The sequence below is a fragment of the Homo sapiens genome, chromosome 3 (assembly GCF_000001405.40).
Source record: "Homo sapiens chromosome 3, GRCh38.p14 Primary Assembly".
Lineage (NCBI taxonomy): Eukaryota > Metazoa > Chordata > Mammalia > Primates > Hominidae > Homo > Homo sapiens.
In genome coordinates, this window is record NC_000003.12 from 23,631,234 (window position 1) to 23,655,975 (window position 24,742).

At 42.4% G+C, this 24,742-nt stretch overlaps 1 long non-coding RNA gene and 1 pseudogene across 2 annotated transcripts, besides 1 other annotated feature; one reads left to right on the forward strand and one right to left on the reverse strand.

Moving 5' to 3' along the window:
- Positions 10,256-10,359, reverse strand: RNU6-788P (RNA, U6 small nuclear 788, pseudogene; annotated as a pseudogene).
- On the forward strand, positions 15,589-23,751 carry LOC105376993 (uncharacterized). 2 transcript variants are annotated; one of them, XR_940651.3, is made up of 3 exons: positions 15,589-15,773; positions 16,302-16,482; positions 23,435-23,751. It is a non-coding gene; the product is annotated as an uncharacterized LOC105376993 (long non-coding RNA). The 2 variants fall into 2 exon arrangements; XR_940652.4 differs by lacking the exon at positions 23,435-23,751 and adding an exon at positions 17,538-20,112.
- Positions 23,512-23,695: a silencer, noted in NCBI's record as "fragment chr3:23696236-23696419 (GRCh37/hg19 assembly coordinates)". NCBI's record gives its function as "represses an EF-1alpha promoter that drives an FKBP-Casp9 reporter gene in an ReSE screen in HepG2 liver carcinoma cells {active_cell/tissue: HepG2}" and the evidence as "EXISTENCE:reporter gene assay evidence [ECO:0000049][PMID:32094911]".

Below are 24,742 nucleotides of genomic sequence, written 5' to 3' on the forward strand. Positions count from 1 at the left end.
TGCCAGCTGCTCTTCTAAATGCTTCACATGTATTAACCTCTTTTAAACCTCACAAAATCTGTGAAATAGATATTAATGTTGGCTCCACTGATAGGCAAGGAACCTGGAGCACAGAGATGTTAAGTAACTTGCCCAAAATCTCACAGCTAATGAGTTTTGGGGTTTTCTTTGCGGGGGGGGCGGGACAGAGTTTTAATCTGTCACACAGTCTGGAGTGTGGTGGTGCAATCACAGCTCACTGCAGCCTCGACCTCTGGGGCTCAAGCAATCCTCCTGCCTCAGCCTCTCAAGTAGCTGCGACTGCAGGTGCACACCACCACGCTTGGCTAATTTATAAATTTTTTGTAGAGATGGGTCTCACTATATTGCCCAACTGGTCTCAAACTCCTGGGCTCAAGCAATCCTCCTGTTTCAGCTTCCCAAACTGCTGGGATTACAGGCATGAGCCACTGTGCCTGGCTTAAAATATTTTTAATTTCCCTTGTCTTGCAGCTTTTCACCAAGAAGAGGCCTAGATCTTTCTTTTATTAGTTTTCTATCGCTGCATAACAACTTATCCCAACACAAAATGGCTTAAACCAATAAGGATTCAGGGAGCTGGCACTGTCGGGAGGTCCATTCACTTCGGTGTCTGGCAGTTGATGCTGGCTGTGGCCTGGGTCCCCAGCCTGGGCTTCCCTCTGACACGGTGGCTGGGTTCCAAGGACAAGTGACCCAGAGAGACAGAGAGTCAAGCAGAAGCCGAGTTGCTTTTATGACCTCAGAAGTCACATATCGTATCACTTCCACCGCATCTGATGGGTCAAGGCAGTTACAAAAGTCTGCCTGGGTTCAAGGGGAGGGAGCATAGACCCTACCTCTCGATGGAGAGGCGTCAGTTTACATCGTGAGGAAAGTGGGTGGGATGGGATATGCACTCAGTCTATCACAGATCCTGAAAAACAGGCAGCCTAATAGGTCCTCTTTCCTGGAGAAGAGTTGATTCTTTCTAACCAATTGGATTCTTCTAGAATGTATGAGAATGGCCTTAACCAGTGTGTCCACTATGAAAGCAGAGCAGGAGCAAAAGTTACGGTGCTTTTCAACTTTTGTATAGCTAGTACCATGCTTTTTTCTTTACTTGTTCAAATATTATCAGCCCTTAAAACATGGAATATACAAGCAGTCTTAAAAATCTAGCCAAGTGGCTGGGGGCAGTGGCTCACACCTGTAATCCCAGCACTTTGGGAGGCTGAGGGAGGTGGATCATTTGAGGGACGAGTTCGAGACCAGCCTGGCCAGCATGGTGAAGCCCCGTCTCTACTAAAAATACAAAAAATTAGCCGGGTGTGGTGGTACATGCCTGTAATCCCAGCTACTCAGGGGGCTGAGGCAGGAGGATTGCTTGAACCTGGGAGGCTGAGGTTGCAGTGAGCCGAGATCAGGCCACTGCACTCCAGCCTGGGCGATGGTTGTGAGACTCTGTCTCAGAAAGAAAAAAAAAAATCTAGCCAAGTCTCGTTTTCTAAACGTCTAGCGTGTTTTTCCCTCCAGTGGCGTGGGTCAGGGCCTCCCCTGCTTCACTTTGTCTCGTGAACCCTTAACCTACAGGCCAGTCAGGGCCCTGAGGTGTATTGGCATCAGCTTCATCCACAGTTTCATCAATAAACTCCTGTAACTCAGAGCAGATTTGACAAAGGTCAGGGGTGCTACATTATCCCTGCATATGTGTGGACAGACCTATTGTCTGGCTAGTTTATATTCCTGGGATGAAGCATATGTAACTCATACCTTGAAGAAATAAAGGCAATATCCTATTTGACAGTTCAAAAGACTTATTCTCCTTGTCCTGATAGAAAGTATCTACTTCCCAGAACTGAGCAAGAAAACGTAATAAAGTGGAAAAGCCTCTTGAAGAAGAGGTTATGACATTTTTGCTTTGAAAGAGAATGGCAGGTCGCTTTTAATGGCCACATCACACACGTGGTGTTCTGAGAAAGTGGCGGTAAATCGAGGAAACCCTTAATGTTTTCTTCCGTGTAACCAGAGAAAGTGCTGAGCCCACCAGGTTGCAGATTATCACCTGCTAAGGTTTTCAATCTCATGCGTGTGCGCAGAACACCAAGGCTCCCAGCAATTTCCGTCCTATCTGGAGCTGTGCATAGAGTGAGGGGGAGATGGCACTGTCTATTACAGAGAGCCTCCTTGTTTCTTTGTTATCAAAGAAAATAAGCCTTCTCCCCATTCCCTGTGACCACTTGTTTTCCATTGTCACTACATTAGTAGCTCTGCGGTTTCAGCCATCATTTTCCTAAGGAGTGAGTTATTTAAGTTCTCTAATTTAATCATCCTAAGATTATCTTCCTACCTCAATTTAATAAAGGAAATTAAAATGTGTTTTCTTTTTGTTAGTATCCTTAACTGCCATCTGCTTAAAAATGTGGATATAATCAGCCACTGGACAGTATGAGAAACAGATCATGTTTACGAAGAAGTTTCTCTCTTTTTAAAAAGCATGTGAATAAAATTTTTTAATCCCCATGAGGAAAAAAAAATCTGCCAGAATTTTGAGTTGAAAGAGATTTCATTTCATAGCAAAAACTGGTAATGTAAAATGATCTTTCCAAATATAAACCCACGGCTTCCTGGTAATTGTGTTAGTTTTAAGACAAATAAGGTATTTTTTCTAATTCAGTGTTTTCCAAAAACCCTTTTTGCAGTCTGTCTGGGAGCAATCAATGGAACTAAATTCATGCCACCTGTTCCCATTGGTTTTCAATCCTATGTATCTGGAAAATTGCTCTAGTCATCTTTCCCCAGGATGGATGATTCTGAAACCATAAATACTCTTTTTATTTTTGAGTAAGAGACATTAAGATTTTTAAACTACTTGGAAGATTGACAATTAATTTCTTTTTTCATCAAGGAAAACATACACTGATGTTTTTAAACAGCCTCATTGAGATATAATTAACAGAGTAGGCAATTTATTTATTTAATGTATATAATTCACATTTTTTATATATTCACAGAGTTGTGCAACCCCCACGACCACCCACTTTTAGAACATTTTTGTCTCTCAAAAAAGAGCAACAACATCAACAAAAAACCAACCCTATACCCATTAGCAATCATTCCCATGCCTACAGTAACTCCCAGGCCTGAGCAGACATTAATCTACTTTGTGTCTGTTGATTTGTCTTTTATGGACATTTCATATAAAAGGACTTATACAATATGTGATATTTTGGGACTGGCTTACTTAGCATAATGTTTTTGAGGCTCATCCAAGTTACAGTCTCTATCAGTACTTCTACTTCATTGCTTTTTATTGACAAATAATATTCTATTATTCAGATATACTACATTTTCTTTATTCATCGGTTGATAAATGTCTAGATTGATTCCACTTTTTAATTATTATGAATAATGCTGCTACAGGCATTCATGTTCAAGCTTGTGTGTGGACATATGTTTTCAGTTCACTTGGGTATATACCTATGAGTGGAATTGCTAGGTCATATGGTAATTCTATATTTAACTTTTTTGGGGAACTGCCAGACTGCTTTTCACAAGGCTACACCGTTTTACAATTCCACTAGCAGTGCATGAGTGTTCCAATTTCTCCATATACTCACCAATACTTGTTAGAGTCTGTATTTTTTACTATAGTCATCCTAGTGGGTATAAAGTGGTATCTTGTACTTTCGATTTGCATTTCCCTAATGACTAATGACATTTAGCATATTTTCGTGGGCTAATTGGCATTCTATATATCTTATTTGGAAAGATGTCTACTCAAATACTTTGCCCAATTTTTTAATTGGGTGTTTTTTTTGTTTTTTGTTTTTGAGACGGGGTCTCGCTCTGACACCCAGGCTGGAGTGCAGTGGCATGATCTCGGCTCACTGCATCCTCCGCCTCCCGGACTCAAGCGATTTTCCTGCTTCAGCCTCCCAAGTAGCTGGTACTACAGGTGCCCACCACCACGCCCAGTTAATTTTTTTTGTATTTTGTTGTAGAGACTGGATTTCACTGTGTTAGCCAGGATGGTCTCGATCTCCTGACCTCATGATCCACCCACCTCGGCCTCCCACAGTGCTGGGATTACAGCATGAGCCACCGCACCTGGCTAATTGCGTTGTTTTTTTAATTCTCAAGAGTTTTTTATATAATATGGAAGCACATCCTTTATCAGACATATGATTTGCTAATATTTTCTCTTGTTCCGTAGGTTGGCATTTCACTTTCTTGATAATGTCCTTCCATGCATAAAAGTGTTTAATTTTGATGTAGTCCAATTTTATCTATGCTTTCTTTTGTTTCTTATAATTCGGGTATTTAAATCTCTTCTAAGAGTTTTATAGTTTTGTTTTTTTGTTCGTTTGTTTGTTTTTTCAGACAGAGTCTCACTCTGTCACCCAGGCTGGAGTGCAGTGGCATGATCCCAGGTCACTGCAATCTCTGTCTCCAGGGTTCAAATGATTCTCCTGCCTCAGCCTCCCTAGTAGCTGGCATTACAGGTGCCTGACACCACACCCAGCTAATTTTTGTGTTTTTAGTAGAGATGGGGTTTCACCATGTTGGTCAGCCTCGTCTTGAACTCCTGACCTCAAATGATCCGCCCTCCTCCGCCTCCAAAAGTGCTGGGATTACAGGCATGAGCCACCGCACCCAGTGAGTTTTATAGTTTTAACTCTTGCATTTAGCTCTCCAATACATTTGGAGTAAATGTTTGCATATGATATGAAATGCATTCTTTTGCATAAGGGTATCCAGTTGTTCCAGCACCATTTGTTGAAAAGATTATTCTTTTTCCACCGAATTGTTGTGGCACCCTGGTAGAAAACCAACTGATGATATATATAAAGCTTTGTTTCTGGATTCTCAATTCTATTCCATTGACCTATGTGACTATGTCTATGTCAGTACCACACTGTATTGATTACTATAACTTTTTTAAATTTATTTTTTATTTATTTATTTTTTTGAGACAAAGTCTTGCTGTGTCACCCAGGCTGGAGTGCAGTTGGCATGGTCACAGGTCATTGCAGCCTCTGTCTTCCTGGCTCATGCGATCCTCCCACCTCAGCTTCCTGAGTACCTGGAACCACAGGTGCGTGCCACCACACCTGGCTAATTTTTAAATTTTTGTTGTTGTTGTTGTTTTGTTTTTTTTTTTTTTGTAGAGATGAGGGCCACCCTATGTTGCCTGGTATGGTCTCGAACTCCTGGACCCAAACAGTCCTCCCACCTTGGCCTCCCAAAGTGCTGGGGTTACAGGCATGAGCCACAGCAACTGCCCTGATCACTGTAACTTTGGTAGCAAGTTTTGAAATCAGGAAATGTGAGTCCTCCAACTTTGATCTTCTTTTCCAAGGTTGTTTTGTCTATTCTGGGTCCCTTGCATTTTCATGAGAATTTTAGGATAAGTATATCAATTTCTACCACAGACCAGCTGGGATTATGATAGAGACTGCGTTGAATCTATAAATCCATTTGGGGAATGCTGCCATTTTAGTGATATTGAATCTTCCAAGCAATGATTTATACCATTCTAATGCATTTATTGAGGACTTTTAAATTTATTTCAGCAATATTTTATAGTTTTAAGTGTATAAATTGTGTATTTTTATTAAATTTATGCCTATTTTATTCTTTTTGATGCTACTATCAATTGAATTATTTTAATTTCCTTTTTGCAATATTTCTTTTTAGTGAGTAGAAATAAAATTGACTTTTGAATATTAATCTTATATCCTGTTACCTTGATGAGCTTGTTTACTAGTTCTATTAGTTTTTTAGTAGATTCCTTGGGATTTTTTATATACAAGATCATGTCATCTGTAAAAAGAGGTTGTTTTAATTCTTCCTTTCTACTATGCATGCTTTATTCTATTAATAGTGTGTATTACATTAATTGATTTCTGACTGTAAACTCACCTTGTATTCCTGTTATAAATCCCACTTGCTCATGGTATATAAACCTCCTTATATGTTGCTGTATTCTGTTTGCCAGTATTTTATGTTTGCATTTTTGAGAATTTTTGTATTCATAAGGGATGTTGGTCCTTTTTTCTTTTCTTGTAATGTCTTTGATTTTGGTATCAGGGTAAATACTAGCCTCAAAGTATGAGTTGGGAAGTGTATCAGTGAAGCCACTTGGACTTGAGTTTTCTTTCACAGGAAGTTTGAAAATTACTAATTTGATCTCTTTACCGGATATAGGTCGATTCAGATTTTCTACTTCTCTAATCAGTTTCAGTAGTACATGTCTTTCTGTGAATTTTCCATCTCATCTAAATTATCTGCTTTTTTTGGCATGCAGCCTGTGGTATGCCCTTATAATCCCATGTATTTCCGTAAAGTCAGTAGTAGTGTCTCCTCTTTCATTTCTGATTCTAGCAATTTGAGCCTTCTCTCTTTTTCTCTTGGTCTATCTAGCTAAAGCTTTGTCATTTTTGTCCATCTTTTCAATAATCAACTTTGGTTTTACTGATTGTCTCTATTGTTTTCCTACTTTTTATTTTATTTTATTAATTTCTACTCTAATTTTTATTCTTTTCTTCCTTCTACTTGCTTCAGTTTAGTTTGCTCTTCTTTTGCCAGAGTCCTAGGGGAGAAGTTTAGGTTACTGATTGGAGATCATTCCTCTTCGTTAACATAGGCATTTATAGCTATAAAATTCCCTCTCAGCACTACTTTAGCTGTATCCCATAAGTGTTGGTATGCCGTGTCTTTATTTTCATTTAGCTCTAAGTACTTTCTGACTTCCTTTGGATTTCTCTGCCAGCTCAAATTTACTGTTGAACCCCTTTATAAATTTTTCATTTCTGTTTGTACTTTCTATGTTCAGAATTTCTATGTGGTTCTTTTTAATAGTTTCTCTTTATTGATATTTTCTTTGTTGTTGTTTGTTTTGTTTTGTTTTGTTTTTTTGAGACAGGATCTCACTCTGTTGCCCAGGCTGGACTGCGGTGACGTGATCTCGGCTCACTGCAACCTCTGCCTCCCAGGTTCAAGTGATTCTTCTGCCTCAGCCTACCAAGTAGCTAGGATTACAGGTGCCCACTACCACGCCTGGCTAATTTTTGTATTTTTAGTAGAGACAGTGTTTCACCATGTTGGCCAGGCTGGTCTTGAATTCCTGACCTCAAGTGATCCGCCTGCCTTGGCCTTCCAAAGTGCTGGGATTACAGGCATGAGCCACTGTGCCTGGCCTTTTCTTTCTTTTGTTTTTTAACAGGCACTTGTGAACATTTCTAGCTATTTTCTTCTGATAAGACATTGCTATCATATCTTCCTTTAATTTTCTGAGAAGGGTTTTCTTTAGTTCTTTGAGCATGCTTAGAATAGCTGTTTTATTTTTATATTTTATTTTATTAATTTATTTATTTATTTATTTGACAGAGTCTTGCTCTGTCACCCAGGCTGGAGTGCAGTGGCGCAATGTCGGCTCACTGCAACCTCCGCCTCCCGGGTTCACGCCATTCTCCTGCCTCAGCCTCCCAAGTAGTTGGGACTACAGGTGCCCGCCACCACACCTGGCTAATTTTTTGATTTTTAGTAGAGACGGGGTTTCACCATGTTAGCCAGGAAGGTATCGATTAGAATAGCTGTTTTGAAGCCTTGTCTACTAGGTCCACTATCTGGACCCCTTCAAAGGCAGTTTCTATTGCTGGCTTTTTTTTTCTTGTGTATGGGTCACACTTTCTTATTTTTTTGTTTGGTTTTGTTTTTGCATGCCTGGCAATTTTTTGTTGAAAACTAAATATTTTAGGTAATATTTTGTAGCAACTGTGGATACTGACGCCACTGCTAGGGGTGGTGATGGTTATTGTTTGCTGGGGTTTATTTATTTGCTTAGCGACTTGACTAAAGTAATCCTGCAAAGTTTGTGTCCCTTGCAGTGTGCAGCCTCTGACATTCAACCTCAGATTTCTCTGACCTTGTTATTCTCTTTTAGCCTGGCCACTTAGGCTAGGAATCACTTCTGGCAGGTCACCTTCTTATTGTTCATATGTTGTACTTAAGCCTGCTTAGCAGTTAGATGTTTATTGTTGGAAATGTGTGTTGCTTGAAGGTTGCTAGCCCAGTTGTGGGGGAAGGGGTTACCTTTTTCTCTCATGTTCTATTATCTTAGAGCTCTGTGGTCACTCCTCTGATCACACCCTGGAAAGGTACAGCCTTGGACATGCATACAGTCTTCCAGACTGCCAGGGAAGACTGCAATATTATTATTTACTTTATTTTTATTTGTTTATTTTTTGAGACAGGGTCTCATTCTGTCACCCAGGCTGAGTGCATAGCTCACTACAGCCTCAACCTCAAGGCTCAAGTGATCCTCCCACCTTAGCCTCCCTAGTACCTGGGACTACAGATGTGCACCACCACGCTCAGCTAATTTTTAAATTTTTATTTTTAGAGATGGGGTCTTGCTTTGTTGCCCAGGCTGGTCTCCAACTCCTTGCTTCAAGTGATCGTCCTGCCTCAGCCTCCCAAAGTGCTGGGATTACGGGCGCCAGCCATCATGCCTGGCCTCTTTGTCATCTTGATTTGCCTTTCCCCTGGGACAGAACCTGTGCAAGACTGCAAGGAGCTGGGGTCAGGGACCCACTTTTCCCAGAGTGATGAATGCCCAGATTTGCAAGTAGGTACTGGGGTGGCAGCTGTGGCAGCTGTGGATAAGCCTGTTCTTCTTGGCTTGTCCGTTGCAGCATGGAACCTCCCTACTACTAGTGAGTGAGCTGGGTGGGGGTGACAGAGGCCCCAGTATTCTCAGCCTGCTTCACCTGGAGTAGAACTTCTACCCTACAATCAAGGGAGGCAAGATAGAGAAGGGGAGTTGGTACTGCCTAGAATAGAGCTTCTGCAACACAGGGCTGGGGGCAGGAGGGGTGAAACCATACCCTCAGACTGGCAGGTGGAAAGGGGGGATGAAAAGAGAGCCCCCATCATCTTGGCCACACCTGCCCAGAGTGGAGGGTGCAGAATGGGTAGCACTTCCATTAACACTGAGCTATGGGTGCAGAGGGTAAGGAAGCAGGAGGTGGCTCAACTGCCACAGACCCTTCCTACGAAGGTTTAATATATTTTTTTGAGGGACTTTTTCTTTGTTTCCTGTACATCCTTTGAACAATTTCCAGGGGCTTTAAATTATTGCCTTTTTATTATTTTCACCACTTGAGTTGTTTTGCTGGAGAGAGGGTCTGCTGAGCTTGCTTCACCATTCTGAATGTCCTGTCCTACACAGATGGTTTCTTTAACCTCCATATTTGATTGGATTGATGGTCTTTTGACTGCTCCATTTGGGAGGAATGAAAGCTAAGAAAGTCATTAAGGGCCAAAGGATGGGAAGTAATGACTTGTGGATGTTGCCTGCAAATAGCAGTTGCTTAATGCAAACTCTGGTTGCTTCTTAAAATTTTAAATGATGTCATATTTTCTCCACTCCACCCTCAAAAGTTATCAAAACAGAATGCTGGCAGCTCACTTTCATTTCATATCACAAATAAGTGACACACAGTATTTTCAAGTTGGAAGGAGACATCAAACAAATGAGGAAATAAGTCCCAAGAGGACAGGACTTGCTATTCTAGTTTTCCAATTTTTGTAGGAAATAGGAAGTGGTAGTCAAACAACAAATGATGTCTTTAAAATGGTATTTTCAAATCGAGTACTGTTTCTGGATAGCACAAACTATTTACAACTCAGCAGGGTCATAGCAGGCTTTATATTCTCCAAAGAATGCATTTTCTTTCCTGAGACAGAGGGCCCTAGACAAAGAGCTGAATCAAGACATTCCTTCACAACAGCAACAATTTGAAAGTTCAGTTCAAATACAATTTGAAATCTAAAGAACTCAGTTGTAACATTTTAAAATAGAAAGATAATTCTCTACTTAAAAAGTTATCATGTCAGTTCTTTTTTTAAAAAAAAAACATATTAAGAAATATTTCTTTTTTCTTTTTTCTTTTTATTTTTTTTTAAGATGGAGTTTCACTCTTGTTTCCCAGGCTGGAGTGCAATGGTGCGATCCTGGCCTGACCTCCAGTGATCTGCCAGCCTCAGCCTCCCAAAGTGCTGGGATTACAGGCATGAGCCACCATGCCCATCTATTTTTTGTATTTTTAGTAGAGACGGGGTTTCACCATGTTGGCCAGGCTGATCTCAAACTCCTGACCTCAAGTGTTCTGCCTGCCTCGGCCTCCCAAAGTGCTGGGATTATAGGCATGAGCCACCGAGCCCAGCCAATATTTTAATTTAAAAAATTGTTTTAAATTTAAATCACTTCATGAATTTGCATGTTATCCTTGCATGGGGGCCATGCTAATCTTTCATTTATTCCAATTTTAGTGTATGTGCTGCCGAAGCAAGCACTCTAAATTTTGTCTTACCACAATCCTTTGAAGTAGAAAGTAGTAATAGTATTAGTACTAATAGTGGAAGTTGGGAGACTTGGGTTTTAGTTTTACCTCTTTCAGTTATTGTCTCTAAACCTTGGGGAAAAATCATTTAATCTTCTTGTGCCTCAGTTTTCCCAGAAGCTACACCCTTAGCATCCTGTGGTATTCTAGAACACTATTACTTCTAAATGTTTTGCAGAATGCTATTAAGCATTAGGAGTGGTAGAGTATTCACACCTTCATTTTGGAGGTGAGGAAACCAGACCATCTGCATATTTACTGATTTGGCCAGTATCAGACAGCCAGGGAGCAGGAGATCCAGGGCTTGAACCCAGGTTTCTCCAGGCAAATCTGTGCTCTAGACACAGAGTGAAAGTCAATGGGCTCTAACACACACAGATTACCAAGGTGTTCCAGGAGCTACAAGATGAACAAAACAAGGCCTCATCCTCAGGGCTTTTCCATGCTGCCTCCTGGCCCTTCCCACTCCTTCCTATTGTACGTAGTGTCTACTCCACCACGAGACTTGTGTCAGCATTGACGTCAAGAATATAACAGCCTCTCTTGATGTCTACCAATGCTTTGCCTCCACATAAGTCATTCAGTTTCTCTGTGCCTTGGTTTTCACTTGAAAAAACAAAACAAAACAAAAAAACCTTCCAACTGCAGTACGATGCAGCAAAGCCCAGCTGACTGCATAACGAATGTGAAACTTTAAAGTGCAGGAATGGAGTATGGTACCTGTTTCTAGTGACACCGTTTCTCCAGAGCATCTCTATGTAACCATGGTTTTCATATCCTCATAAATATACTACGACATAGCACACCGGGAGTATAGTTACGACAAAAATTTCCCATATAATAAAGGTTGTCTTGGCGGGGCATGGTGGCTCATGCCTGTAATCCCAGCACTTTGGGAGGCCAAGGCAGATGGATCATGAGGTCAGCAGGTCAAGACTATCCTGGCCAACATGGTGAAACACCGACTCTACCAGAAATACAAAAATTAGCTGGGTGTGGTGGCGTGCGCCTGTAATCCCAGTTACTCAGGAGGCTGAGGCAGGAGAATCTCTTGAACTCAAGAGGTGGAGGTTGCAGTGAGTCAAGAAAATGCCATTGCACTCCAACCTGAGCGGCAGAGCAAGACTCCATCTCAATAAATAAATAAATAAGGGTTGTCTCCAGTCTTTGTCTATATAGCTCGCACCTCCTGTATGAAGAATAACTCTTTGCTATAGAAATTTCACATAATAACATGTAAGTTAAGAATGAAGCCAGTAGGACAAGAGAAGAAGTGAACTATAAGAGATCTCCCACACAGCTTTGTTCTACAGTGCCATTCGTGTCTCTTTTCCACGAAGGCAAGCATTTCATTCCCTCACACTGAGATGAGCACAGTGATTGAAACCTTGGATAACACATAGGAAGCTCAGGGGAGAGTTGAACTGGGAAGACGTGTTTCAGTGATCTACTGCTACATAACAAATCACCCCCAAAACTTAGTGGCTTAAGCAATGATGATTAGTTCTCATTATTCTGTGGTCCCAACTGGGTCACTCTTTTGACTCTAAGCAGCTGCTGGCTGGGCTGAGCTGTTGGCTGGGACATCTTTGTTATCCTCCACAGGGCCTCGCCACAAGGCAACTTGGGCTTCTCCACAGCATGGTGGTCTCAGCGTTTCAACAGGGCAGAAGTGGAAGCTGCCCGGCCTCCTAGGGGCTAACCTGGCACAGCATCACTTCCACTACATTCTATTGGTCAAAGCAAGACACAAAAAGCTGGGGACAATGGTGTGCACCTGAGGTCCCAGTTACTCAGGAGGTTGAGGCAGGAAGATCGGGAGTTCAAACCCAACTTGGGCAGTGTAGTGAGACCCTGTCTCTAAAAACTCAAAAAAAAAAAAAAAAGCAGGCCTCAAAAGTCAACTCAGATTCGAGAGGAGGTGAGGGTAAATAGGCCCCACCTCTAGATGGGAAAAATGATGTACTCATTCAAAAATGGACGGATTGGTGTAGCCATCTTTTTTTTTTTTCTTTGAGACAGAGCCTCCCTTTGTCCACCAGGCTGGAGTGCAGTGGTGCGATCATGACTCTCTTCATCTTTGGCAGCAACCTACCACATAGGGGATTATAGAAGAGGAGACTTGTAACTTCTATGTGGTCACTTCAGACCTGCAGAGCAGGCAGGTGAGGTGAAAGAGGCTGTTTGAGAGTCCGAGCCTGTTGTAGAGAGATCAGTCCAGTGGTCCAGGTTCAGTGAGGAAATGATCTGGTAGTAGTTCTTCTGGAAGCATTCTTCTTTGGAAATTCTACAGGTAAGGCTTGTCCGTATTCCCTCTTCTCTCACCTCTGGGGAGGAATGGGGAGTTGGGTAGGGCTGATGGAGCTTGTAGAAGGTATTAGGGACTGAATCCTCTTCCTCCGAAAATTCATATGTTGAAGTCTTAATCCACAATACCTCAGAATGTGACTGTATTTGGAGGTAGGGTCTTCAAAGAGGTAATTAATTTAAAATGATGCTGTTAGTGTGGGCCCTGGTCCAATATGACTAGTGTCCTTCTAAGAAGAGGTGATTAAGACACACAGAGATGTTGGGGGAGTAAGACAAGCATGGGAAGATACAGCAAGAGGGTTGCCATCTGCAGGCCAAGGACAGGGGCCTCAGCGGAAACCCAACCTGCTGGCACCTTCATCTTGGGCTTCCAGCCTCCAGAACCGTGAAAAATAAACTTCTGTTGTTGAAGCCACCCAGTCCGTAGTATTTCACTATGGCAGCCCAAGCCGATGGATACAAAGGAGAAAGGCCTCAGCCTGAAGGGTCCGGTAGAACCAAAGCCCATGTGGAAGTGGGAAGGCCTGAAACAACAGGAGGATGGTCCAAGCCTCTGCAAATCCAAGGTGCCTGGTAGTGGGTTTGGACATAGTGACATGTCCCCAGGGTTCTGAAGCCAGGACAGCAAGAGAATCCTCCAGAGATCACAAGCCACAGACTCAGCCCCAGGCATGTCTTGTTGACCCCACTGTGTTTTTAAAGAAATTGTAATTCATCTCCACTATTTAAGCATCAGAAGTTTTTATTCTTTTAAAAACATTAGGATTTCCAGCTTCTCTTGAACAATTAGAAGACCTCGCTACCCTGGCCTCGCCTGCCTCTGTGGGTACAGGGCTGGGGCTGGTGTTTTTTTGTTTTTTGTTTTTTGTTTTGCATTTGAATATCCATCGTCAAATGAGTGTTTCCCAGACAGGAGTTTAGTGAATAACAAGTGGGAAGGAGACAAGTACATTCTATCAAATTGCATCACTTTGGGGATTGAAGGTCTTTATGGTAATTTATGTCTTGTCATTACAATGAAAAGAGTGTGATTCACCAGCTCTACTTGGTTCATTGTGATTTACAGTGGAGGAAGTTATGTAATTAGCCATATCCAGAAGAGGTAGAAGCCTCCAATATCCCAGGTAGGGCCTTTAAAGGGTTTTTGTGATCTTAAACTGAGTTTTTATAGGTGTTTCTATTTCCGGAAGGCATTGGAAAGAGCTGTAAGTGTACGCCTGTGTTCCAATTGCTTCTCAATTGACACTCTTCGATATGCATTGGCGGCCTGTGCGCCTACTTCAGTGTAATGAAAAATCTTATTATAATTTGCACATCAAACAAGAGGGGACTGGCTACTCTTGCTGGGGAGCCTTGACTGAGTTTCTAGGCTTTTGAGAAACTCACAAACACTCTCAGTTGTTAATGTTCTTTGTACATAATATTTCAGACAGAATTAGCAACAGAACTACTGCTCTGATCTGTTTGCCTTTCTTTATTCCAAGATATTTTGCATATTTTAAAGAGGATTCTCTCCGTGTTCTCAGGTTAAATTAGTTGCTCAGAGAGGCTGCAGTCTCTTTCCTGGCACTGGGTATTTGAGCTCCACTTGGGGCGGCTGATTCTGGAAGACTGTTCTCACCTGAACCTCATCAGGGCACCATGGCAAGACCTCTCAACTAGGCTGCATGGAACACTCTAGGGTCTTTGTTCCCCTCTCCTCCACCCCGCCTCACCCCCAAATCCTTCTCTTTTAGTGACCCCTTCTCTCAGCCGTGCAACCTCCACAGATACCCTCCCTACCGCCACCCTCCAACTGTCCCCAGGGAAATACACACTCTCCTGCCCTTCCTGGAAAATAACCTTGATCCACTTTTCCTGCAATCACTCGCTCAAGACTGGCTTTTCTCCTCTGGCCTGTCTGGACCAACATCCATCAATGATGTGACAAAAATTGTTGTCCATGTGCCGTCTCCTGGAAGTTCTCCCTCACTCCCCTGCAGGCAGGAATCCGTGGGGGTGGGGATAGACACCAGAGTGTGCCTGCGATAATAGGAACCCAAACCAGCATTTGTAGAGGCTTCACTGTGTGCTAGGCACTGTGCAAAGCAAGGCATTGCATGGGCTAACTCACTGAAGACCCACTTCTGTACATTGGGGTAAATCTTTGTACTATGCACACTTTACAGATGAGAAAACGCAGGCTCAGACTTGCCCAAGATCACATAGTGGGAAATACTGAAGCAGCCTGACCCTAAAGACCTAAAGTCATGCATGTATTTCGTGAATTGCTTATATATGTAGTTATACAATCCTACACTTTGTTCCAGGAAGGATTTATAATGATTCACAGAAACACATAAAGATAAGATAAAATTTTAAATTAACAGGACGATAAACCAGGACAACAGGAAAATGAGGACAGGAAAGACCGAGTGGAGCCAGTGGCGATCTCTGTACACAAAATAAAAGCCAGTGGCATTTTGTCTGCATCACAGCTATAAAGTTATGACTGTGTCTGGTATCAAAGTCATTTCTGAGCACGTCTTATCTGCACCACTGTTGGCTGCTTTAGGGCAGGGTGAGCCATCAGCATTTTCTCTCCCACATTTTATCCAACAACTATTTAATGCACAAATATAATTATGAAGGAGGATGCATCCTCTCCCTCTCTCTGTCCCCTCCTCAATCTTGCTTGCTCCTGAAACGGGAATTTCTACTTGTCTAAGGCCCTGGAGAAGTTTCTACTTTCTATGCACCTCCCAGTGGATCCACCCTGGGGGAAAAAGAGTGATTCAGTTGATTAGGGCAGTGGCAAAAGGTGCCCCATTGGCCCACATTTCTCTACGGGGTGGGGTTAGCTCTTTAAAAGATTCCCACTCCCCTGGGCATTGTTCTGTCTCTCCTTGGGCTGTTTCTCTTGGAGGTGACTTTCTGCAAGGCTCTCCTCCCTGACAGGGAGCAGGATCGGGGACAGTGTGTAGGAGCCTGCAGTCTCCAGCTGCTCTAAGTGAGCTTAGGTGGGAAAAATCAATTCAGTGGAAAGTCATGGGACAGACACTTTGGCTTCAGATCCAGGTTTGCAGTAATAAATTTGATGTTTTGATCCCTAAACTGACTTGTAGATCTGTTTCATATTTAGTTCAGAATCTGAAAGGAAAGAGTGTGAATTTTTTTTGACACTTTAAAATCTCAACTAATGATTTACTTTCTCACAAATATTTCTATTCTTAAAATAGGGGGCCTTCTGGAGCCATCTCAGTTAGGAAAACTTGTGATCGCAAGTAACCAAAAAAAAAAAAAAAAAAAAAAGCCATAATGGCTGCATTCATTTGGGTCCTATGAGAGGAAAATGCCAAGACAGGATTAGATGTGCAAGCAATTTATTGGAGCAGTGCTGGAGAAGCATAAAAAGGAAAAGGCCAGAGAAGGCAGAGAGAACCTTCAGGCCGTGGTGCTGGTCTGACGTGTATGAAGAAAAGAGGGGAGGAAGGCAGATGGAGTAGAATGTCTTAGATTGCAGTGCGGGTCCAAGAAAGTTGTGGCCAAGGCTGATGGGAATCCTTGACGCAGTGTTGCCCATTGGTGTATCCCTGTGTCTCACAGGAATAAGAAACCTGCATTGGCTGTGCTTCGTCACTGATTCAGGAGCAGCCTGTGGAAAGCGTGGCCTCAGCATCAATGTGGTGGTGAACCCAGAGGAGTGGAAACAAGGCCAACTATTATGCTCCCTGCAGCAGGAGACCTGAGTGGTGCATTGTCCTGGCCATCACAATGGCTTGATCAGGTAAGGGTTTGGTTTCTCCCATAATAATAGTTTGAATTAGGTAGGCATCTGCTGGCTTCAGGCCAGTGTTCCTGCTTTATTTTGGGCATGCCATTGTGGCCTCGCAATCACTGCAGCCACTGCAATCATCACATCTGCAGTCAGCAAGGAGAAAGGTGGAGTGGCAGCACCTCTAGCAAGAAAACCAAAACACTCTGTGAGCCTCACAGCAGCCTTCTCTTGGGTCTCATTGACCACACAGCTGGAGCATGTGGCATCCCTGGAAGGGAGCTTAGAGAGAAAAAGTTGGGGAAGAATATTGGGTCAGCCACCATGATCATGTGCCTGCCACAGAGGCCCAACATAGGCCCCAGAGGAAGACCCTGATATTGGCATTTCAAGCCCCCGCGGATGCTATGTTGGGTAGTTAATTAAACCTGGCCCCGCTGTGCCTCCAACAGAAGCTTCCTGGTGCTTCTGGGTGATCAAGTCTCGGTGTACTCCATCGAAGTCTCTCAGGATGCTTTCTAATAGCTCAGCCTGGTGCAACATAGCATACAAATTAGACAGTTCATTTCTCAGAAAAGTATTTGTATTTTCTTTGGAGAGCTGACTATGTATTTGGAGAGGAAATGGCTTGTTGTTTGCCTGCCCTATCAGGTGCTTTTACTTGTGTCCTCTTGTTTAAGCTTCCCAATGGCCTTGCGTGTGTGGTGGATGTTCTCACAGGCATTGGGGTGGGTCTCCCTCTGTCTGCTCTACTCTCCTCTGTTGTGGCAGCCATGGGATTTGGGATGTGGACACCAGGCCCACAGGGTGGGCCTGATTAATCTAAGCCAGTCAGAGTAATCTCATTACCTTGGTAGTCATTGGTGCAGAAATGAGCTTGTAACCAATCTGGCGCAATGAGATTCAGGGGAAGGTTGCTGGGCTTCTGGGAACCTGTTTGCTTGGGCTAGAGAAAAAGCCACAGGAAGAGCAGTTTGTGTCTTCAGCTAAATGTGAACGGGAAAACCAGGAGCCCTAATTGCTGTGGCTGTATCCTGTGACCCTGAGAGCAGCCCTGTTTAGAACAGATCCAACACTGGATGGCAGCCTTGGAGTCAGAAAGAGCCTGGGTCCTTGAGGACATCACTGAGAAGCTGGACCAACCATCCTGATGACCTCACAATCTGTAGACGCCCAGATATGTGAGCCCATCTGTTTCCTTATGTGAAAGTTAATGTGGTTGGATTTTCTCTTACACTGAAAGCATCTAACTGCTCCAGGTGTTATGCCCGTTTTCAGTTGAGGAAGCTGATATCCAGAGAGATGGAGTAACTTGCCCAAGGTCGCACAGCTTGTGTGGCAGAGCTGGGCTCGGGACCAAGGTCTGACTGTTGGCTCCACACCCTGCAATTAATCTGCTGTTCACTGGGAGAGGTGATTCGTGTATTTCAAGATTATAAGAACAGCTCAGACATGCTTAACTTACTAAGAAACTGGTATTGGACTTTTCACACTTTCTCTGAGTTCAGAGCTGGGCCATTTCCTGTGTAACAGGGATCTCCAGAATATCAAAAGACTTCACAAATCACAGTGGTGCCAAAGAAGACAGATTTAATACTGGTTTTCAGGATGACATCAGTTCTTTTTCTCCATTTTTAAAAGTAGGCAGTAATGATGACAGCATATAAAACAAATATATACCAGGTCGTAGCTTCCAATTTCCTCTTATCAGAATTGACAAATGTCCCACACCGTGCAGGAAGAGTGCAGTTAAGAAGGGGCACAGAGTTATCTGTGAGTTTTCATTACTTTTGTTCATTATACTGCTGCATTCCCAATCTTTTCACCCTCAATCCTGTGGGTTAAAGGACTGCAAATGCAGCAGTGTAATGAGCAAAAGTCTAAGAACTTTTTCTGGAACAACTTAAAGTCTCAGAATTGGACAGAATTTGGAGGACAGCTGGTTTAGTCCCTCCCCCGTGGCAGGCAGGAGTCCCTCCCAGAGCACCCCCTGCTAGGCAGCCATTTAGCTTTCCCTAGAAAACGCTCTGGAGAGGAGTCACTCTTTTCTACTCTCCTTGCTAGGAAGCTCCTCATATTGCACTGACTTCGTGCTTATGTATTGTTATAAACCAAGTCACTGTTCTTCAGAGCAGAATGGATACCAGCTCATTAAAAGACAAATGGCGACAAATTATCTTTGTGACTGTGTTCTCTTCCCAAGGTGATCTGATGAGCCATCAGTAATAGATACCCCCCAATAGGGTGACCAAGCCTACTTACCCCTTTACCCCTTAACTCACTCTAGGTAGAAATGGGATACACATCCTGTCTGTGAATTTGATGTAACCCAGGAGAGAGACAAGGGGTAACTTCAAGGTTTTATGTAGCTGAAAGATGACCTTCAGGCGGGGGATGACTTTGTTTTTTGCCTTATTTTATTTTATTTTATTTCAAAATCACACATTTGTTTAGCTCTAAGAGTTAAATACCACTACAAAGCTAATAATGAAAAACAGCAGTCTCTACCTATGGTCTCCCTGTCTTTACATCTTCCTCTCCAGAGGCAACCCCTTGCAAGTCTTCTGGCCATTTCTTCTGGTGTTTATACTTAAATTTCTCAATAATGTGTTGATACTGTTATTTCTTGATTTTTCAGTTTTAGGTATAATCCAATTTCTTCCTATCACAGAAAATGAGGATTGAGCATGGCTTCACCTCTCCTTCCTTTCCCTGGTGCTGCTCCTGACCCCCAACCCCCACCACTCACATGCAAACTTCCTCTTCTATCTTCCCAATATAGTTGCATCATAGTTTTTGGTTGAGTCAACATGTATTATTTAGATTTATATGATGATGTAGATCTTGCTCACAGCTGAGCCATGCAATGAAATCCAGAAAGAATAAAGAGGCATGACTGACCTACTTAACAGAGAAAACACACATGTGACCTGAGGTGCCAAAGCCCTCCCTGGAGTGTTCCACACCAACTAATTCAGACTGCGGGGAAAGGATTGCTGAAGGTTACTTGTTCTGTGCCTGCCAGGTTGAAGCAAGACCAACTGCTGAAGGGGTGGGCGAGGTTTGCCTCCCTTCCTAAGGAGGTGGAAGTGTGAAGATTTTGCACACTGGACAAATAAAGAGATGAAAACAAGGGTGAACTCAAGACAGCAAAACAAAGCCATAAACCAGCCCCTACCCGTGTGGGAACCTTGCTGAAGAGTTTGATGTTTTTCCTTTTTCCTTTGCACTCTGGGAACAGTCATATGAAGCATCCTGTTTAAATACTTTTCTCCTTTGAAGCAATACCCTCTAGTTACTCATGACCCTTCAGTGATTCACAAACCATCTTGTGCTTCCTATGAGTTGATGTAGGGTGGGCTGGGGACCAGGCAGTAAGAGAAGCCTGGCGTCTCCACATCACCACTCTGCAAGCTTCCGTTTTCTCCAGAGTGTTCTGAGTCTGTCCTCCCCAACCCCTCCCTGTCGGGCTAGGCCATTTTGCCTGCTGTCCCTCCACCGGCATTGACAAGCCCTAGGGGCACCACTGCTTAGGGGAAGGGCAGCTTCTGCATGTGGCCCTCTCCTGGAGAAAAAACATGCTGATTTTGTTTTTAAAATAAATGTTAGCTGGAGCACTGGCTCACACCTGTAATCCCAGGACTGTGGGAGGCTGGGAGGATCACTTGAGCCCAGAACTTCAAGACTAGCCTGGGCAACATAGCGAGACCCCATCTCTACAAAAAAAAAAAAAATCTCCTTAAGCTGATAAGCAACTTCAGCAAAGTCTCAGGATACAAAATCAATGTGCAAAAATCACAAGCCTTCCTATACACCAATAACAGACAAACAGAGAGCCAAATCATGAGTGAACTCCCATTCACAGTTGCTTCAAAGAGAATAAAATACCTAGGAATCCAACTTACAAGGGATATGAAGAACCTCTTCAAGGAGAACTACAAACCACTGCTCAACAAAATAAAAGAGGACACAAACAAATGGAAGAACATTCCATACTCATGGATAGGAAGAATCAATATCATGAAAATGGCCATACTGCCCAAGGTAATATAAGATTCAATACCGTCACTATCAAGCTACCAATGACTTTCTTCACAGAACTGGAAAAAACTACTTTAAAGTTCATATGGAACCAAAAAAGAGCCCACATTGCCCAGACAATCCTAAGCCAAAAGAACAAATCTGGAGGCATCACACTGCCTGACTTCAAACTATCCTACAAGCCTACAGTAACCAAAACAGCATGGTACTGGTACCAAAACAGAGATATAGACCAATGGAACAGAATAGAGTCCCCAGAAATAATACCACACATCTACAACCATCTGATCTTTGACAAACCTAACAAAAACAAGCAATAGGGAAAGGATTCCCTATTTAATAAATGGTGCTGGGAAAACTGGCTAGCCATATGGAGAAAGCTGAAACTTACATCTTATACAAAAATTAATTCAAGATGGATTAAAGACTTAAGTGTTAGACCTAAAACCATAAAAACCCTAGAAGAAAACCTAGGCAATACCATTCAGGACATAGGGACGGGCAAGGACTTCATGACTAAAACACCAAAAGCAATGGCAACAGAAGCCAAAATTGACAAATGGGGTCTAATTAAACTAAAGAGCTTCTGCACAGCAAAAGAAACTACCATCAGAGTGAACAGGCAACCTACAGAATGGGAGAAAATTTTTGCAATCTACCCATCTGAAAAAGGTCTAATATCCAATCCAGAATCTACAAAGAACTTAAACAAATTTACAAGAAAAAATCAAACAACCCCATCAAAAAGTGGGTGAAGTATATGAAAAGACACTTCTCAAAAGAAGACATTTATGCAGCCAACAGACACATGAAAAAATGCTCATCGTCACTGGCCATCAGAGAAATGCAAATCAAAACCACAATGAGATACCATCTCACACCAGTTAGAATGGCGATCATTAAAAAGTCAGGAAACAACAGATGCTGGAGAGGATGTGAAGAAATAGGAATGCTTTTACACTGTTGGTGGGACTGTAAACTAGTTCAACCATTGTGGAAGTCAGTGTGGCGATTCCTCAAGGATCTAGAACTAGAAATACCATTTGACCCAGCAATCCCATTACTGGGCATATACCCAGAGGATTATAAATCCTGCTGCTATAAAGACACATGCACACGTATGTTTATTGCGGCACTATTCACAATAGCAAAGACTTGGAACCAACCCAAATGTCCATCAGGGATGGACTGGATTAAGAAAATGTGGCACATATACACCATGGAATATTATGCAGCCATAAAAAATGATGAGTTCATGTCCTTTGTAGGGACATGGATGAAGCTGGAAACCATCATTCTGAGCAAACTATTGCAAGGACAGAAAACCAAACACCGCATGTTCTCACTCATAGGTGGGAATTGAACAATGAGAACACTTGGACACGGGGTGGGGAACATCACACACTGGGGCCTGTAGTGGGGTGGGGAGAGGGAGGAGGGATAGCACTAGGAGATACACCTAATGTAAATGGTGAGTTAACGGGTGCAGCACACCAACATGGCACATGTATACATATGTAACAAACCCGCACGTTGTGCACATGTAACCTAGAACTTAAAGTATAATTTTAAAAAATCTAATAATTAAAATTAAAATTAAAATTTGCAACTTGTCCAGAGATTAGGAATTAAAACCCAAACTTAAGTATCTTAAAATTTCTATCTAATACAATGGAACCAATCTTTAAGATACTCTCATTTATTAAATTTCTCCATCTGTGTTTGTATGATACTGCTTGTGTGTCTAGAATTTTTACTTCTGCCCAAAGAAATTTTGCTTATTGTTGCTAAGTTTTTAGAACACCGTCCCTTGATGGGGAAAAATAAATCTATAGGGATTTAACTAGAAGTCCTACTTCAGAGATTACTTTTCAAGATGTGTAGAAAGAAGAGGGCCAAGGAAAACCTCACTGACCTTTTCCCCCAGCAATGAAAATGTTCAAGTTTCTTAAAATAAAAAGCAAGCACCTGAGTGTTATTTATAATTTCAAACGTTCAGTTTCAGTTTCTAATCCACCAAGTCCTCCACCTCCAAAGCTCACAGTGACTTTCCTAAGCAGCTTCATTTCACACGGTTCCCTGTTGTCTGCTTTCTTTTATGGGTCTGTAAACTCTAGAAGATTCAGTTATGCAAAGGAGGTTACAAATGCTGTCTTTAAAGGAGGGGAGAAGCAGAAAGGTAAGTGGAAAAAGCCAAATGAGCCACCAGGGCTGCTTCCTGAGAAAGCTGACCTCCCTCTTGTCTTCATTGGAGGGTAAGTCCTCAGTTGACACTGTCAATAGGTCTTTGGAAACTGCAACTTTAAGCGGAACGACATAGGACAGATCAATTTTACTGAAGGCTAACTGATACAAACAAGAGTTAAGTTCCCTTGGCACGTTTCTGATCACAAAAACATTAAACTTCTAAATAAAGATCAAAACACTTCTAATTTTAAACCTTAAACTAAATGTGAGCTAAGGTACATTTAAGAAAGAATAGGCCCAGCATGGTGGCTCATGTCTGTAATCTTAGCACTTTGGGAGGCCGAAGCATGATGATCGCTGGAGGCCAGGAGTTCAAGACCAGCCTGGGCAACATAGGAAGACCTCATGTCTACAAAAATAAAAAATAGCCACGTGGCAACATGTGCCTGGACTACGTGAGTTATATCTTATGACTTTCAAGTAATTCTTTGAGAGCAAGGCATGAAGGAATTGGAATCAAGAGGAATTGGCAGAATTGGGGGAAGGGTTTGAAAAGGAATTTGGGACAGGACTAAGGCTACCTTTATTAAATGTCTGTTATCTTGTTCATTGTGGAATTTTTTAAATATCAATTTTGATTGGATTACGATGCTATATTTTTTAATTACTGAGTTTTGTTTGTTTGTTTGTTTTTGTTTTTGGCAAGCCCTTAAATTTTGTTTGCATTTAATACAAGGCCTGGAAACCAGAGAAGATGACCAATTTCAAAACCAGAGAAGCAACCCTAATATGAAGTTCCAAATGGTGTGGCAGGAAGGTAGCAAGACACCTGGGGCAGATAACAACGGTTTGAGCACCTGCTCTGTGGCAAGCTGCCTGAAGGGACTTGACACACACTTGCAGACAGTTCTCAGAAAAGTTCAATAAATTGCCCAAGGCCAAAGAGCTAGTAAGTTGTGAGCTTGGATTTGAAGCTGATTTTTCTCTTCATTGCAAAGCCCTGGGCAACAGTCTTTTTGCCATGAATCGGGAATAAACAGGAGAGAGCATGGAGATGGCAACAGACTCAATTTATGAATGAAATTCTATTTTATTACTTTTAAATACAGATAAGGCCAGGCATGATGGCTTACACTTGTAATCCTAGAACTTTGGGAGGCTGAGGCAAGAGAATTGCTTGAGGTTAGGAGTTCAAGATCACCTTGGACAACACGGGGGGTTGGTTGGGGAGGGGGAAGAAAGAAAGTGAAAGAAAAATAAATACAAATAAATACCAAAAGAGACCAGTACACTCTCCAGGGGCAAATAATGAATAATATTTCAAATCACTATCTTATTTTTTTCAACTTTATTGAGCTATTATTGAAGTAGATAAGCTGCACATATTTCCATGTAAAAGTTGGTCAGTTTCGGTGTGTGCATACCCCTATGAAATCACTCCCACATCAAGATAGCATTTTCTTTTTTTTGAGATGGAGTTTTGCTCTTGTTGCCCAGGCTGGAGTGCAATGGCGCAATCTTGGCTCACTGCAAATTCCACCTCCCAGGTTCAAGCAATTCTCCTGCCTCAGCCTCCCAAGTAGCTGGAATTACAGGTGCCTGCCACCACACCCAGCTAATTTTTTGTATTTAGTAGAGATGGGGTTTCACCATGTTGGTCAGGCTGGTCTCGAACTCCTGACCTCAGGTGATCCACCCGCCTCGGCTTCCCAAAGTGCTGGGATTACAAGTGTGAGCCACCACGGTTGGCAGGATAGCATTTTCATTACCCCCAAAAGTTTCCTGGTGCCCTTTTGTAATCCATCCCTTCTTCCATCCCTGTTTCTAGGAAAGCATTGATCTACTTTTGTCACTATGGATTCGTTTGCATTTTCTAGTATTTTACACAAATGGAATCATGCAGTATGACTCCTTTTCATTTGGCTTCTTTTACTCAGCATAATTACCTTGAGATTTGCCCTTGCTGTTGCATGTATCAGCAGTTCATTCCTTCTTATTACCAAGCAATATTCCATTGTATGGACATACCACAATCTGTTTATCA